At 42.7% G+C, this 18,628-nt stretch overlaps 1 protein-coding gene across 5 annotated transcripts in view; it reads right to left on the reverse strand.

The window, feature by feature from the left end:
• Window positions 1–297: 297 nt before the first annotated feature.
• TMED8 (transmembrane p24 trafficking protein family member 8) overlaps window positions 298–18,628 on the reverse strand; it is a 42,074-nt gene continuing 23,743 nt past the window's right edge. Inside the window, exons 2-6 of one of the 5 annotated variants that reach the window (NM_001346134.1) lie at window positions 16,950–17,028; window positions 11,626–11,755; window positions 8,974–9,100; window positions 8,455–8,760; window positions 298–7,265 (exon numbers count right to left, since the gene is read on the reverse strand). In NM_001346134.1, the coding sequence (NP_001333063.1) occupies window positions 7,048–7,265; window positions 8,455–8,760; window positions 8,974–9,100; window positions 11,626–11,748 (774 nt within the window). In that variant the 5' untranslated portion in view covers window positions 11,749–11,755; window positions 16,950–17,028 and the 3' untranslated portion in view covers window positions 298–7,047. Of the gene's footprint in view, window positions 7,266–8,454; window positions 8,761–8,973; window positions 9,116–11,625; window positions 11,758–16,949; window positions 17,029–18,628 lie in introns of all 5 variants that reach the window. The other 4 variants (XM_017021224.2, NM_213601.3, NM_001346131.2 and 1 more) reach the window with 4 other exon arrangements.

Below are 18,628 nucleotides of genomic sequence, written 5' to 3' on the forward strand. Positions count from 1 at the left end.
TCACTGGGACCAAATGCTGACATAAAACTCAGAACTTATTAATCATCACTATAAACCCAGTTTTTCCATTCCCAGTTCCCAGGTCATGATACTCTGCCATGAATTTAAATGCAGATGAAAGATCTATTATTAATCTTATTCTCAATTTTTTTTCTTTTTAGTTCTTCTTAACTTTCACAATCTTAATAGATTATGAAATAATTCATATGGGCTTATAGAATACCTTTCTTAAGGAAGATACATGAAAGACAAAGAATTTAAAATGTAAATCAGGTTCATTAAAATATAACTCAGATGTTACCAGGTGCATAGTGAAAAAGTTTATTTATGACAGATTCGAAAACTCAGAAGAGATGACAAAGAATGCACAAAAGCATCACAAAACTGTTACCTAATATAAAACGCAAGAACTGAGCTACTTGAAGAAGCACAGCTCAGAATCATCAGTGTAATCGCAGTAACACACCCAGTGCCACAGGGTGATAAAAATGGTATTTTAAAAGAAAAACCACTCAGCAGGACACAAGAATTAAAGTAACAATTTGGTAAGACTCTTAGAAATCACAGATGTTGATAGCATTTCTCATGATAGGGGACATGTAAAACAAGCTGACCATAATAAATGATTAGTTGGGATACTTTTGTATTTTAAAGAAAAAAGATAAAACAGTGACACGGTTTCCCTTCCAGACCCTTTTTGTAATGTCAGCAACAGTACATGATATAGAACAGTAAGAAAATAATGTCTTTGTAGTTGCCAATTGCTTAAATCTTTACGAAGAAAACATGATCATCTTTCAGTCAACTGACTGATCTGAGTACATGGCACCAAAGAAAGCCCTTCAGAAAATAGAAGCTAAATGACATAAAGTAGTTTGGAAAATCTTCAAGCACCTCCCTTTATTCCAATTATCCTTTTCCAAAGTCTGGCTTTCTTATAATCCATCACTTTGATTACAAAACAGCTCTCTTCTGGGAATTTCAAAACACTTCCCGTTACGTTAAGGGAAAATGGGTACACCAGATTCATGGGTTACAGGATTGCTTTCTCTAGACTTGGCTTCTCTTTAACATGGCTAAATGGAAATAATTTAGCTTGGTTAAATGAAAGCTACTTCACTTACAGGATAATCTCAGGAGACATGAGTGGAGTTTTTCATATGGAATTTCTTAGTAAAATGTACTGTTTAGGATATGAGAGACGGAATTAAGATAATGTTTTCCAGATGATTCTTGGCCTGATCCTAAGAATCAACAATAACAATCAATAGCAAGGAACATTACACATTCAACCCTGAGTGATGAAGAGAGTTCAGGAAGAGAGCCCCTTAAACTCTGAATTAAGGGCTCTTTGGTAATATCATATACTATAATATTTCAAACCAAAACTTCAGAAGGGTTCATGATCCTATTTCAGGACTTTAGAAAATATACTTTGTCCTCTGGAAGCAATTTCACATATATTATTTTGCCCCCAGATAAGCCACAACTACCTGCTTAAATTTTTTTTTAAACTATGGAATTAAATAAACATGCATCTCTAGATTTCTAGGGCAACTTTTCATCATATCTTTGAAGAGTCATGACATTAACTCTGGTCCACATACCTGGGGCCTAAAAAAATCAGGTACATATAATAGGAATCACATCATGAGCCTAATTTCAAAGCCAGTGTCTTGCCTTTGGACTGTGTGTGTGAGGCATGCCTATTTGTAAATGAGCTCCACTATCATTGGTTTTAGGCAATAGTGTTTTCTTAGCTTAGAAATTTCTTACCTTAAGAATTCAAACAGGAGGGGCTTTGTTTAGCCTTCTTGGTTTAGGCAGGGACAATGCAACACTTGAGAGGCAGCAGTGATTTCTGAGCAAAATTCTAAGATATATTCGATAGGTTTGCTCTCCCCTCCCCCCATACTCCTACCCTTTGCCCCCTAATTTTATTTTGTTTTCCCTCGTTGTGATCAATTTTAAAAGACAGTTCTCAAGCAGCACAAAACGGTGTAACTTATGCCCCTCCCTTATGCTCCACTAAAACAAGTCTCTTATGTAAATATTAGGGTCACTCAATTCCACACCTTAGAACCACTGGGGTTAAAAGGCAACCTTCTGCAGATAAGTGGTCTTAACAAACAAATATAAAAGCAGACTTTAGAGTCTGGGTTTCAACTAATTCTCTCAAAGAGGGACTGAGCAGGACTCATAAACATAAACTCATATTCCCTACAGATTAAGACTTTTTATGATAATACCTAATTCTACTGCTTAATATAAGACAGCGTTCAGATTTCACTCTTCCATATACATATTATAATGGGACAATATACACTTTTTTAAAAGTCTGAGTTTTTCTTCCCAAAATAACAAAAATATTTTTTAAAGTGCATGTATCAATTCATTAAGAAAAAAATAACTAAGAATGGTCTAATTCCAAATTGCTACCTACTTCCATGATAAAGCTACCTGTTATCTAAGGATTGAGTTTTAATATCAGAGTCCTGAGGACATGTCATCAAGCAACAGAGGTTAGCATAAAGCCCTTCCGGAGCAGCTTCACAATCACTCTTGTACTGACATGCCAGTTAGTAAGGAAAACAGCAGAGATCATGGCCTGAGGGAAGGGGAAAATACAGCACAGATGTATTTTCTTGAAAGATGGAGACCAAGAAACAATTTTTTTTTTTTTGAGACGGAATCTTGCTCTGTTGCCCAGTCTGGAGTGCAGTGGCATGATCTCGGCTCGCTGCAACCTCTGCCTCCTGGGCTCAAGAAATTCTCCCTGCTTCTGCCTCCAGAGTAGCTGGGATTACAGATGCCCGCCACCACGCCCAGCTAATTTTTTGTATTTTTAGTAGCGACGGAGTTTCACTATGTTGGCCAGGCTGGTCTCGAACTCCTGGCCTAAGGTGGTCTGCCCACCTTGGCCTCCCAAAGTGCTGGGATTACAGGCGTGGGCCACGGCGCCTGGCCTCCAAGAAACATTTTTATGAAGACCACCTCCTGGGTAACCCATGTTGAATGAAACAGGTCTGCTAAAAATCAGGGGCTCTCCAACAGAGCCGATATGCAGGGGACATTCTCAGCATTCTCTAATTGGACACTTGTCAAAAGGAACAGAATGTTAGAATCATCTTTGCCTAGGAATTGGTAGTTTAAAATTTTTACATTTATGCGGGGAGTGTGTGTATACATATATATACAGCAAACCAAAAATAAATTCTAAATCCCCCAACCGGCTGAATGGACCCCTGTCTTGGCCCAGGGGATCTCAAAGGAACCTGAAAAACTAGTCCATGATGGGAAGACAGGGTGCCTCATATTATGGTCAGATTACAGGGTGCCTCATATTACCCTCTTCCCTTTGGAATTTAAATACAACTGACCAGCATTAACATTAAAACAGAGATCTTAAGACTAACCAAACAGACCCTTTGTGGCAATAAAATACCAAATCCCAACCTGACTCTGGTATAGCATCACATGACAGCAGGCCCCAAAGGAAATTTACCCCCCAATATATTTATTTGACGTATTTTGAAATGGCCCTACAAAGCTGTCTCTTGTGGGGGAAACTGCATTCTGTAGAGAATCTCCTTCTCTTATTAGGTCTTTTCTGGAGAGTCTGACACCTTTTAAGGCCTAAAAAGAAAAATTCATCATCTGTTCTCTCTGAAGCCTGCTACCTGGAGGCTTCATCTACATGACTTAAGCCAAGCCTCCCTTACTTTAACTTAAGCTGACTTCATCTTTTCAGGTAAAGTTTAACTCTCTCAACCAACTGCCAGTCAGGAACTCTTTGATCTACCTCTGACCTGGAAACCCCCATCTTCAAGATGTCCTGCCTTTCCAGGCCAAACCAGTGTATACCTTACATGTATTGATTTATGGCTTTGCCTGGACCTTCTGTCTCCCTCAAATGTATAAAACTGTAACCCGACTACCTCGGGCACATGTTCTAAGAACCTCCTGAGGCCCCATCATGGGCTCTGAACCTTGGCAAAATAAACCTCTAAATGTATTGAGACCTGTCTCAGATACTTTTTGGTTTACAATATATTTATATTTCTTTTAAGCTGTTTGCTGAAATTTTTTCACAATAAAACACTGGGGGAAAAGAAATCAATACTTTAAATATGTCTTCCTTTCTAAAAGGCCCATCTCTCAACAAAGTGGCAAAACTAAAACTAAAGAAATTTAAGAACTCAGTCACTATAGAGAATTCCAATCTCTCTCCTACTATGAAGCACTTTCTTTCAATTGTTTGTTACTATTTGTTTGTGCTCTAGAGAACAGGGTGAGGATCAAAGCAAACGGTTTTCATTTCATTGTTTGGGTCTATAAATTTGGACTGGGAGGGGCTGAGGAAATGACTGTCTCTTAGAATTTGCTGGGCTGTGGGTTCTCAGTAATTACCTGTGCTTCAGTAAGTAGTATCTTGCCCCTAAAGTTCAATTATTTCAGAAATGTAACATGAAAATAGTGAATTAGACAGTGAAAATATCTTCTTTTAGCTATTTTGTGCTAATGGAACACAGAAACCCTGACAGTTGGTGAAAAACCAGTATGAATGAAATGTAACCATGCCCAGGACTTCAAAAGTGACCAGACCCTAAGAGGCACACAGAGGTGAGGGGAACAAGTCCCTTAGGCTTCCCTGATGCAACAGAACTAGGATTCCAAAGAAAATAAGCAGAGAATCTCATGGTGAAAATAAATAATAACAAGTGTTATCCTTGGGAGCTTGCTGTGTATGGCCTGACTGTTTCAATTTGAGAGAAAGGCAGAAGTTAATAATAAACAGGAAAAATAAGCAAGGCTTTAGCTGACTAGAAAACAGCTCAGTAGAAAATTATTTTACAAAGATTATATTCAGTTAGCTAAGGCATGATTCAACTTCAATGATGCAAGAGCGGTCACTCAGCTATCCAATGGGATGACACACAGCAAATCAGCTCTTCACTGCCTCAACAGACAGTCACTAAAATAATTTCTTTAAAGGTATATAAATGTTGGCCAGTGTAATCCTCTACAAAACACATTTGCAAATATAAAATAATGGAGGTATGATGCTGCTCAGAGAATGGGAATGCTCTGGCAGTCCCCAACATCCTATCCCACTTGGGGCTTTGCTCCGAGGGGAAGAGCAGGTGCAGGATATATTGCCCTTTGATGTGATGTAGATGCTACTAGGGACCCACTGGGAAGAGTCCCGTTCCTTGAGTTATGCTACTGTAGGGATAGACCCTTGGTGTGAGGAATCTAACAATGAGTCAAAGGAAACATCACAAAGAAGGTGACACCTCAGAGGAGACAAAGGACTCTGAAATCCTGGAATCACGGGATATCTCTGATTGGTTAGGGAATTCCTCTGCACTCAATCTCCAGCAAATGGGCAGATTCCCTCACAACTTAGAATTTTTCATGGGGAGTGCTGGACTGTACCCCAAACATGGAGTAAGGTGGCATCATCCATCTCTGAAGGGCCATACTCCTCGCAAAGCCGTCACAGGACTGACCTACAGAAATAAAACATCATCGCTTCCCAAATTCTCCTAAAAATATCATCTTTAACTCCATAAAAGAGGGGGCTTCAGTGGCTCAGAACAGATGGGAAGCCTTCTGAGAAACAGATGGAAACTGTTTCAAAGGCAAAATGAAATGTGCTAAAAAAATAAATACAGTAATAAATAAATCTAATTATTCTTCAGAATTCGTAGGCAGTAACAGACATAACACGAGGAGTAAGAGACAGGGAGGTACAAACACAGAGACTGCTGAGGTCCCATCTCACCTCCGTCTCCTCCTCCGCCTGGGGGCCCAGCAGCTGGTGCTCTGGTGACCACTGGCTGCAGCACTACCTGCACTCTGTGGCACTCCTGAGCCTCAGGGGTGACACAGTAGGAAATGCTGTCACCAGGGAAATGCAAGCTTTGGTCAGGTAAAGAACAAATACAATCAGCAGCAATAGTGAAGCTTCATTATCACCTAAACTAAGGGACTTTGAACACCAAAAGCTTTAAGCCCTCAATGCAAGAAAGCTAAATGCAGAAACTTTGGAAACCTGATTGGGTTTCACTGCATTTGATTCCAAAGCAACATTTCTAAACAGCACTCCTACTCTAAAGACAAAAAAAAGCGGTGGGGACTCTGGAGTGTTTTTTGTTTTTCATCTTCTCTGTCAGATGATACCATTCCTTCTTTGATTATACCAAAAAAAAAAAAAAAAGTAACACGACTTTCAAATATGTGGGTTCTGACATCAATTCAGTACCTAATTTCCACTCTCTCCACTTTGACTGCCAGTGCCCATAGTAAGGGAAACCAGCTCTTGGAATAGGAAATAATGGGGGCAGTTTTTCTTCCCACAAGATCTTAGGTTACATTGATCATCACTTGAGATTGCATGAATGTTCTTGCTGTAATGGCAAAAACATAGACTTAGGAAAGAGAAAGGAGGGGGTGTCTACCATCAGGAATAGTAATAGCCCTCCAAAGGCAGTGTGGTCTCCCAGCTATGCAGAGACCAAGAATAACCAGCAGGCAGGAATATGGCAGTGGTGACAGGCTGGATAGAGCTTTCTCCAACCAAAAGATGGGGCTCCTTCATGGGCAATGTGCTTTTCCCTCTTCTGGCACCTCAACAACTGAAGAGAGTGGGTGCCACTAAATGCACTGGCAATAAGGGCTGTGGGAGAGGAGAGGGCAGCAATCTGAATGATAAACCTGTGCCAAGATGAATCTATTTTTAAAAAACATCGCCCTGCTTCCTTTTAGGCTTGTGCCCCATAGGTGCCTTCAAGAGGGAATTTGCTGGAGTCTGAAGCAAGAAGGGTATGAGTCAGGGACTACAGAACAGGGGCACTACACCACCACCTGCAGAAGCCAAGAAGGGGAAAAAGCTACGTGGGCCAACAGTCAGGCATGCCAGACAGGGTGTGAGGCTCAGCAGCCCCCCATGAACCTTTGGCTCTTGCCTATCCCAAACAAGAGGCACCAGCTGGCAGCCTGCTTCAGCCAGCAAATACAGCCTGCCCCTGTCCCAGCAGTCCTTCAGCTGGTGTAGTAGATGTGGAAGTAGAGAGTCTTGTTGCGCAGCAGGGAGTAGGAGTTGTCGAACTTGAGCAGGTAGATGCCCTCACCAGGGTAGTCATGGCTGCCAGCCTGCACGTCTCGGTGGCTGTCCCGCCGGTACACAGGCATGACCTCCCCATAGCGACCCCGCAAGGAGCTCCTGGAGCCTCTCTCCACATCTCCAGCTGGAACGGGTTCTGCGTGAGCAAAATGGCAAAGTGTTCAGAGACTGCGTAAGTCCTGCCTGAAGGTGAGCGGAAGGACCAGGTGACCCAGTGGCTTTCACAGAGCGGGGAGATTATTGCCCTCCTACAGACATTTGGAAATGTCTGGTGATCTTTTGGTCATCACAGTGACTATTAGGTGATATCTGCATTTAGTACCCAAGGGTCCAGGAGTGCTAAAATCAGGATAGTACCTACACAACAAACAATGTCCCATCCCAAATGCCAATAATGTCTCCACTGAGAAAATGATTTAGCCTGAGAGGAGCCTTCCTAGCTTCAGAAGTGTCTGGACATTTCTGAGAGGGAGAAAGAGATATTTAGAAGAAAAGATCCCGATATTCTATCATTTAGTAGGTGAAAGGACTAGCTAACGAAGATAGGAATTGCAGATAAACGTGCTATAAAGTGACCCTAGGATTCCTGAAAAGCAGCAAATAAGATACAAGGTTCTCCGCTTTCCCAGATACCTGTAGGTTTCCCTGCCCGCTTGCTGTTCTATGAAGAAGCACGTTAAAGGACTGACTTTAAGATTATATAAGAAAATCAAGGAATAAGAGGAATAAGACTAATGCTTAGGACCTACTCTTACGTTATCTGAAAAATGCCTCTGGGCCATCCTTTGTGTAGTGTGTAGACACTACAAATAACAGCCGGAATGGAGCCCGGAGACCCTTTTAAAACTTGTCTGGGCATGAAGTAAAGAAGTAACCAATAGCCAGCTATGAGAGTTTGGGATAAGGAGAGAATGGATACCTTTAGCAAACTGTAATCACTCACTTTGGTTCCAGGCCAAGAATAAATATCTACAAACTAAGAGAGAGATGTAAAATAATCTCTGGCTTACATGCGACCTGAATGACCATCCCTCTAAACTGCCGCATGACTCACCCTCTCTCTGCTCCTGCCCCATCCCTGCCCCCAGGAAGGTGTTGGGAAAACAATGAGGTACCGATAAGGAAAAAGAGGCTTTCTTTCAATTAAGGCAGCAGTATCAACCCCACCAGAATGTTCTCTTTGGCCTGTACCACTCAGCTTAGCTTGTAATGCTGAGTTTCTCAACTGCATTCAAAGGAAGAGGAGGACTGGTACAACCCACAAAATGGTCACCAGAAATCAGATTAAGCCAGAAAACTGCAAATTAGGTTAAAATTAAATTTACCTTCAATCTCTTCCTCCTCTTCCTCTTCTTCATCCTCATCGTCACTGGAATCACTGACCTGCACAGTTATGTCAGTGCTAGTTACAGGGGTCCAGTCAAAATAAACTCCAAAGCCAATGTCATAGTCATCGGTCGCAAACTCCCAGCAGACACGCTTCCCCTCTGGATGAGTAGGTACCCGGATGGTCACCACCTCACCACGCTTCACCACCAGACGGCTGTTCTTCTCTTTGCCCAGCTTGCTTTTGAATTCCTTCACCTTGGCAAAGGTCCAGATGCATGGAGGAGCCATCAGAGGTGGGGAGACTGAAAGGACAAGCAGCTTAGCACTGAGAAACCATGAGGAAACATGAGTACCCCGGGCATTTTGCTAAGAGAGGCTGGCACAGTCAGACATTCTTTCTACTGGCTTGACTTCCTTTCACAAGTCATTTTCTTTCCTTCCATTTGTCTGTCTGCCTGCCTTTCTTTGAGTATCTACTGGAAACAAACCACCTCCTTTACTCCCAAAGGTCTCACCTTTCCTGTGGTCCCCCAGAAGATCTGCAGATTCCAAATCAGCTGAAAGAACATCTATAGCTCCTGTATGTTCAGACTGGATCATAACGATGTCCCCAGACCTCTGTGGAACTTGATACTTAGCCATCTGCACAACAGAACTCTGGTTAAAGGAGTATTCGAGTGGCAGATTCTAATTAATCTCTTTTTGCATGAAGGCTGCCCCACCCCTGCTCTATTATCTCCACTATCCCCACTCAAAGCTTAATGTACTAGTCAATGTTCCTTCTCTTTCTTCCAAATAGAAGTTGCTAATAAATTCTACTAATTTTTTAAAGCCATCAAAATATTCCATTGTTTAAAGACTGTTTCCTACCTTTTGCAACTTTCCTGCTCCAAACCCTTTATAAGGTCCTTGTCCGCCAACACCCTCGCAGGTTGTTAACAGTATTTGCATTGACTGTGATTCTGGGCCATGCCTTGGTCTTACCTCACCTGCACAGTACCTCCCTGTGGCTCCTCTCATTAATAGCTCTTGCTCCTAGGGTTTAGTTTGACTCCCACTCTGCCACACATCCTCCTGCTACAATTCCCACTCAAGGGTTACTTCTACATTACTGTCAATCAGCTCTCCAAAGCACTGCAGAGACAGAATCTGGTTTATAGTCTTTCTCTCTCATCCACAGCCCACCTCGGGCTACAGATTGTCTCAGTCTTGAAGTCACTAACAGTGTTCTATCAATAGTTACAATTTCACCTTAGACCAGCCCCAGGACTTGCATTTAAACAGTACATTTGCTGCCAGACGTCTGACTTACATGGAAGAATGCAAATGGCATTTGATACTCAAAGCCCTCACTAACCCATGCGGGAGCTTACAATGTCTCCCTGGTGAGTTTCCCTTCAAATCACTCAGATTAGTGTTCCTGGTTTCATGCTATTATACCTTAATTTCTGCCCCTTCTCCAAACAGTTGGCAGGCAACTCAACAAGAAAACTATACCTATTGCCCACAGGGGAGAGCACATCAGTGAGTCAGCAATCCAGTTAAGAGGCTGGAATTGTATTTGTGAGAAATAAATAAATCAAGTTTGTAATCCTCCCAGGCTGTATTCTCATAATATCTGTTTCTGGAGAATAAGCCCTCCAGTTCTCATCTCCTTTGCTAACTGAAATGAATCAGACTTTGGCTAGCGTGCTTAAATAAATCCTTCCTTTTCTAAAATGCTAAATAAAGGATTAGGTTGCAACATATTAGCTACATAGCCTTAGTAAAGTCTCTAACAGCCCTCAGCCTCAGTTTCCTCATTTCTTTCTTTCATTCCTTTTGAGACAGAGTTTTGCTCTTGTTGCCCAGGCTGGAGTGCAATGGCACGATCTCAGCTCACTGCAACCTCCACCTCCCAGGTTCAAGCAATTCTCCTGCCTCAGCCTCCCGAGTAGCTGGGATTACAGACACCTGCCAACACGCCCAGCTAATTTTGTATTTTTAGTAGAGATGGGGTTTTTCCATGTTGGTCAGGCTGGTCTCGAACCCCTGACCTCAAGTGATCTGCCTGCCTCGGCCTCCCAAAGTGCTGGGATTACAGGCATGAGCCACCGGGCCCAGCCAGTTTCCTCATTTCTTAAATGGAGACACAATGGCACCTATCTGACAAGGTTGTTCTCAGGAGTAAATGAAGTGTTACAGATACAAATGCTTGTAAACTGTAAAGTATTATACAAATCTAATTATAACGCCTGGTGGTGTCTTCATTGACACTAATACCAACCATTATTCTAACACATATGCTAATAAATGATAGAAACAACCCCATCCCGCCCCCATCCCTCCATGGCAGGGGCACCACTACACCATCACTTCCATACAGCTACTTGGAAGGCTGAGGCAGGAGGATCACTCGAGCCCAGGATTTTGAGGCTGCAGTGAGCCATGACTGCACCATCGCACTGAAGCCGGGTGACAGAGTGAGACCTTTGTCTCAAAAAAAAAAAAAAAAAAAAAAAATCAAGGCCAGGCACAGTGGCTCACATCTGTAATCATAGCACTTTGGGAGGTCAAGGCGGGTGGATCACCTGAGGTCAGGAGTTCGAGATTAGCCTGACCAATATGGTGAAGCCCTGCCTCTACTAAAAATACAAAAATTAGCCGGGTGTGGTGGCATGTGCCTGTAATCCCAGCTACTCGGGAGGCGAGGTGGGACAATCACTTGAACCCAGGAGGTGGAGGTTGCAGTGAGCCAAGATCGTGCCACTGCACTCCAGCCTGGGCGACAGAGGGAGACCCTGTCTCAAAAAAAAAAAAAAAAAAAAGCTTCTGTGGAATCTTTATCATAAATACTAAATAGATCTACCACAAGAAAAGTAAGAGCAAAATAGTCCAATGACTTCAGGCTCCTCAATGAAGAGGATTTTAGAGAACACATGAACATTCACTCTAACACTTCGTTTTCTGAATCGGTGCCTACTGGGTGCCAGTACAATGATGGGCCCTGTGGAAGATACAAATAATCATTCTCCAAAAAATAATGAAGACCAAGATGCCCTAAATTAGAGGGCAAAGAGAGAATTCCGGGAGCCACCCTCGCAGTGCTTTCTAATTCCAACCCAACCACTATGTGTCCACATTCTGGTGCCTCCTTTCATAAGAAAGAGCCAGAATCTGCCCCCTACCTCATTGAGGACCTGGGCCTGGTCTGCAGGCAGCAAATCCTGTTTCACCAAGGCCTGAGCCTCCAAAGGACCAGTTGCTTTCCGCAGATCTTCCGTGGCATCCTTACTCACTGGAGATACCATCTGTGGCCTCTCAGAGGAAGAGAGCATGTTAATTCAAGGACTCTTTGAAAAGACTCAATCATCCTGGAGAAACTTTGAAATAAAACAACATTCGAGATACCCCCTGCCCCACCTGCCCCTGGCATTTATTTAGCTCTACTGTCACCTTAGCCGACCACTGCCCAGGGCTGAATTGGTCCACAGTAAAGTGTTGACAGTGTGAAAACAAAGACTAACAAGGCCAGGTCAAAGGCTAGGAGAACCATGGAAAACACACAGCTCCATCATCTGAGATGGACTGCTGGTCTGGTTTTTTTTTTTTTTTTTTTTTTTTGTCATTGTTGTTTCTTTTATTTATTTATTTTAGTTGACAAAGTGTATATATTTATGGTGTACAATGTGCTGTTTTGATATATGTACACATTGTAAAATGATTAAATTGAGCTAATTAACATATCCATCCCCTCACATACTCCTTTTTGTGGTGAGAACATTTAAAATCTACTGTCTTAGCAATTTTCAAGTATACATTGTTATTAACTATTGTCACCATGTTGTACAAAGATCTCCAGAACTTGTTCCTCCTTCTAACACCTTATACCACTTGACCAACATCTCCCCATCCCACCCCCTGGCCCCAACACCTATTAACCACCATCCTGCCCTCGGCTTCTGTGAGTTCCAATGTTATTCCTCACTCTGCGGCCCACAGGGCCCACAGAATTTTAACCGAGGAATTGGTAGAATCTCAGTTCAGTTCTACACACAAAGCCACTGGCTAGAAGCAAAAGGAGGAGGTCTGCCTAAGGGAGACTGGGCACCAAAACAAAGTACAAAATGATGATCAAGGCAACCCTCTCTGCAGTTATCCCTGAGGCAGTCTTTCAGCAGATCCGTTTCATACCCTGTCCCCGTTCAGTGCTAGGGGTCATCACTTTCTCTCCTTTTTAAAGCACATTAATCAACAATCCCAATGGCTTCAAACACAGCTATGTGAATAGTTGTTTGTTTTTTGGCAGAGTGCACCAGTGATGCATCTCACCACAACCTCAAGCAATTCTCCTGCCTCAGCCTCCCGAGTAGCTGGGATCACAGGCATGTGCCACGACACCCGGCTAATTTTGTATTTTTAGTAGAGACAGTGTTTCTCCATGTTGTTGGTCAGGCTGGTCTTGAACTCCCGACCTCAGGTGATCTGCCTGCCTCGGCCTCCCAAAGTACTAGGATTACAGGCGTGAGCCACCGTGCTCAGCCATGAATAGTTGATTATAAAGATGCAAGGGAATGATTTATGCTCTCTTCCATTTCCCCTGGCCTCACAAAAACTAGAAAATTAGTGCCACGGTTGTAGCAAAATAACCCAGGCCTTTTGGGAATCTGTTGCTGATAAAAGGTGACATGGATTTTTTTGAATGGCAGTTATCCAAGTATGGTCTAGGGGCCCTTCGGGGGAGTCTATGAAGTTCAAACTGTTTCATAATAACACTAAAATGTTATTTCCCTTTTTTCATTCTCATTTTCTCAAGAGTGTGCAGTGGAATTTTCCAGAGACTATATGACATGTGATACCGCAATAGAATGAACTCAGAAGCAGAGCTGAGAATCCAACTGCCTTTTATTAAGCCAAACATTAAAGAGATTTATGTCTCTCTTTGTACTACATTCTTTGCTTTGAAAATTAGTTGTTTTTAAGTAAAAACATGTTTTATATATAGCATGTCATGAGTTATTATTTTTAAATGAACAAATAACCATATTCTAATTTTTCAGTTTTAATTTCTTTTTTTTTTTGAGACGGAGTCTCACTCTGTCGCCCAGGCTGGAGTGCAGTGGCGCGATCTCAGCTCACTCAAGCTCCGCCTCCCGGGTTCACTCCGTTCTCCTGCCTCACCCTCCCGAGTAGCTGGGACTACAGGCGCCGGCCACCACACCCAGCTAATTTTTTTGTATTTTTAGTAGAGACGTGGTTTCACCATGTTAGCCAGGATGGTCTCGATCTCCTGACCTCGTGATCCACCCACCTTGGCCTCCCAAAGTGCTGGGATTACAGGCATGAGCCACCGCGCCCGGCTGTTTTAATTTCTAATATAGTAAATATTGATAGATATAACCCACACAAACAAAAATTCTTTGGGTCCTTAATAATTTTTAAGAGTATAAAGGTCTGAGAATCCCTGCTTGAGGGCATCATTTCCTCAAAGAGGTTGAGTAAATGACTGGAAAATGGTAGTATACACCTCATGGGGGAAACGGAGGCTTCATTTTAGAGTTTATTAGTTTGTTTCTTTTCTTTTTTAACATAAACAAGAAGAATCACTCCTTCAGATAAAACAGAGCCATCTTTTGGAATATCCAAAATTACTCCAACCTACCTCAGGACAGACAAGAGGAGGTCACTCCAAGAATCAGAGCTGTGGGATTCTGTTGATCTTTATAGGTTCACTTGGGTAATTCAGTGTAAGCTGTAAACTGGCCTAGGCTGTGGGTCTATTTTAATGCTCTTCAACCCAGAAATTATAGTCCATTTCTGTTTCTTGACACTGTGTATCATCTGCCTCCTCTACTAGAAAGTAAGCTTGGTGGCAGGCACTGGGTCTCACTGCCTCTGTATGCACAGCACTGGGAACCAAGCCTGCCACCTGGAACTCTAAGGCCCTTTTTTTTTTTTTTTTTTTTTGGAGACAGAGTCTTGCTCTGTCGCCCAAGCTGGGGTGTAGTGGCATGATCTCGGATCTCGGCTCACTGCAACTCTGCCTCCCTGGTTCAAGCAATTCTCTTGCCTCAGCCTCCTGAGTAGCTGGGACTACAGGTGTGCACCACCATGCCTGGCTAATTTTTTGTATTTTTAATAGAGACGGGGTTTCACCATGTTGGCCAGGGTGGTCTCAAACTTCTGACCTCAGATGATCCACCCGCCTCTGCCTCCCAAAGTGCTGGGATTACAGGCGTGAGCCACCTCGCCCAGCCCTAAGGCCCTTTGCACTCTGACCTCACCTCTCAGAATCCTCACTCTGCCCTGGTCCCTCCAGCCACAACAGCCTCTTCAATCCTTGATAGTCCTCAAACACCCCAAGTACTCTCCCACTTGAGAGCTTTTGCATTTGCTGTAATCTCTGCCTAGAATACTCTTCTAGGACATTAACTCTTCTTTAGTTAACTGAAGACTTCCTTCCTGCAGGTTTTCTGCTGAGAGGTTTCTCAGAGGTCTGTATATAAAATGTGTGCCCCTTCCTGGCCTTGTCACTGTTTCTGCCCTTACCCAGCTTCATTTTTCTTCACTGCACCTATTACTGCCTGACATGATATGGAGCATATTTTGTTGATTGCAAGATGCACACTGGCTTTTAGATTTTAACACAACTGAAAGATAGGATGTCTTAAAAATTGATGATATCTTAAAAGTGCCGTGGGCCTGGATTGACATCAACTCTTTCCACGAGAGATTTGCATTTGCTTCTGCCAGTACTTAGGAATGCTACCAATCTGAGACTTCTTGAAATTAAGTTCTCTGTTTAGGGTTTTGTTTAATCCTCCTGGCAGAGTGAATTTAGACAAGACACTGGCTAATACCAACTGGTGGTTCCTATTCTCAGGGGAGATATTTTTTCCTCCTATGACACAGTGTCAAGTTTGAGACAATCAAGCTTCCTTGCTGTCCTTTTCTGTGTGGGGGATTTTTGTCTTTATATTTTCACTGAAGGTGCAGGTTTTTGGTATCCCAGTTGCATATGGGGGGTCTATTAGATGATCCATCTTAAGCATTTCTTCCTCTCTTGGTGGGACGTGAAAGCACAACTTACAGTTGACGGCAACTTAAGAGTCTGTGAAGTATGATGTGTAATTGTTTTCTGTCCACTTCCCCCACTAGAACATAAGCTCCCTGAGAGCAGTGATGGACTATTTTGTTCATTTGTGGTTTCTTTAGTACCTAGAACAGTATCAGGTACATGGTAGGCTCCCAACAAACATCTGTTGAATAAATATTAGCCCCAAAATATTTGTTGAATAAAAAATGAATAAGTTAATTTTTGCCTGGGAATAAAAGAGAAATTCTGGATCAGACTATCATTTATAATATTGGAAAGGTGAGACTACAACAGGCTATCTGAATCATTAGCTTGACTTACTGTGTGTGACATCTAAAATTGTCTCTTTGTCTTTGTGCATGCTACTCTGAAAAAACATGGTTCTGCTTATTTAAAAAACATATTTTAAGGCTCGGTGTGGTGGCTCATGCCTGTGGTCCTAGCTACTCACAAGGCTGAGATGGGAGGGTTGCATGGTCCAGGAGCTTGAGGCTGCAGTGAGTTATGACTGCCTACCGTGCTCCAGCCTGGGCAACAAAGCAAGACTCTGTCTCAAGAAATAATTAAATAATAAAATTATGTTAAACAGGATATGTGCCACCCACATAAATTTAATATTCACAATTAGCATTTTATGCTCTGGAGAATTAGAAAAGGGCATTTGGGGAAAGATTAATTTCAAATTATTTGATGCTGGTGATAAGCCACATAAAGGAAAAGCCTCCGCTTTAAGCTTCTGGTTTGTACTGACCTGGAGCAGGGAGGCCATCTCAAAGGAAGGGGAGAGCCTGGCCGGCAAGCCAGCCTCACTAGAAAAGATAGAAAGTTGTGCCGTTTCCATTTCCAATAGACACATAAGCATAAGAAGTAAGCCTCAGGCATCACATTCACTGGATTTTTATCTTCACTCAGCAAATGTTAGAAACAAAAGTTAAAAATTAAATCCCTGGCCCGGCGCGGTGGCTCACGCCTGTAATCCCAGCACTTTGGGAGGCCGAGGTGGGCGGATCACAAGGTCAGGAGTTCGAGACCAGCCTGTCCAATATGATGAAACCCCGTCTCTACTAAAAAATACAAAAATTAGCCAGGCGTGGTGGTGCGCGCCTGTAGTCCCAGCTACTACAGGCGTGTAGTCTGGCCACCACGCCCCGCTAATTTTTTTTTTTTTTTTTTTTTTTGGATTTTTAGTAGAGACGGGGTTTCACTGTGCTAGCCAGGATGGTCTCGATCTCCTGACCTCGTGATCCACCCGCCTTGGCCTCCCAAAGTGCTGGGATTACAGGCGTGAGCCACTGCGCCCGGCCCACATTCTTTACTTTAACTTGCCTCCCCGCTTAAAGTCACTACCTATTTCTTTCACCAGTTCCTCATCTCAGAAGATAAAACCTGTGAAAGCATTCTATCCAAAGTGGTTACCTGTGGGGTGAGGAGCAGGGTTCTGGATCGGTGGCAGAAGCCAATAAAGAGGTATCCTTGTTTTCTAGATCTTCATTCTCTAGAAAACCATAGAAAGAAAGAATTCAATATCTGAGAGGGAATACAATCATAATTATCTTGTACCTTTAAAAAAATCTAGCAATTTCAACCAAATTCTTCCCAAAAATATTCTGGTATGAACTTTATACTCTCAGAGGCCCAACACATAAATTATTCAAGTCATCACATCCAAGTATTCTCAGACAGTCATATCTCATTCATAAAAAATAAATCATTTCTAAAACAAGGCTCCAAAAATTAATCCTAATTTAAGAATCATATTTCTGCCAGGTGAAGTGGCTCACACCTATAATCCCAACACTTTGGGAGGCCAAGGCAGGAGGATTGCTTGAGACCAGGAGTTCAAAACCAGCCTGGGCAACAGAGCAAGACCCTGTCTCTAAAAAAAATTAAGGCCAGATGCAGTGGTTCATGCCTGTAATCCCAGCACTTTGGGAGGCTGAGGTGAGTCAGGAGTTCAAGACCAGCCTGATCAACACAGTGAAACCCCATCTCTACTAAAAATACAAAATTAGCCAGGCATGATGGTGCACACCTGTAATCCTAGCTACTTGGTAGGCTGAGGCAGAAGAATCACTTGAACCCGGGAGGCGGAGGTTGCAGTGAGCAGAGATCACACCATTGCACTCCAGCCTGGGCAACAACAGCAAAACTCCGTCTCAAAAATAATAATAATAAATTTTAAAAATTAAAAAAAAAATAGGGCCAGGCACGGTGGCTCACACTTGTAATCCCAGCACTTTGGGAGGCCGAGGTGGGCGGATCACTTGAGGTCAGGAGTTCGAGACCAGCCTGGCCAACATGGCGAAACCATGTCTCTACTAAAAATATAAAAATTAGCCGGGCATGGTGGCACGCAGCTGTAATCCCAGCTACTCAGGAGGCTGAGGCAGGAGAGTCACTTGAACCCAGGAGGTGGAGGTTGCAGTGAGCTGAGATCACACCACTGCACTCCAGCCTGGGCGACAGAGCGAGACTCCAACTCAATTAAAAAAAATTAATAAAAAGAAAGAAATCATATTCCTCAGAAAGCAGATGGTTAAATTAGGCAGAACATAGAGGGCAGAGTGGGATGTAAGATAAACTGAATTTAGCATCAAAGTATAAAGTGTCACTTCTACATTCAATAAGCTCAGATCAATGTACCCAAGGTCAGGTAAAGGACTTTTGTATTTTCATTTATTTATTCAATCACTCATTTACCAATGATTTACTGAATAACTAGGTGCCCTCAAGGAGTATATAGGTGAAATGCATAATGAAGGCCATGTTCTCAAGCTCAAAAGAAGCCTATGTATGGCTGGTCTTATCACAGCCATTTTTGCAGTAAGGAACTTAAGGCATAGAGACAGGATTCAAACCCAGGCAGTTGTGCCCTTAACCATCAGATGCTACTTAGTTTTGTGGGTTATTCATTTAGCCTTTCCTTGAACACCCAGATAGCATATGGTTTAGTGCATTTAGACAGCCCCTCATTAAACTCCCTCTGTGTAAGACAACAAGACACTGAAGACTGAAGTTTACTTCTCAATACAAAATGCAACTTAAGTAAACTTCAAACATTGAAAGTTTCAGAGTTTGGTAGCAAACTCAAAGTG

The sequence above is a fragment of the Homo sapiens genome, chromosome 14 (genome assembly GCF_000001405.40).
Source record: "Homo sapiens chromosome 14, GRCh38.p14 Primary Assembly".
In the NCBI taxonomy this organism is placed as follows: Eukaryota; Metazoa; Chordata; class Mammalia; order Primates; family Hominidae; genus Homo; species Homo sapiens.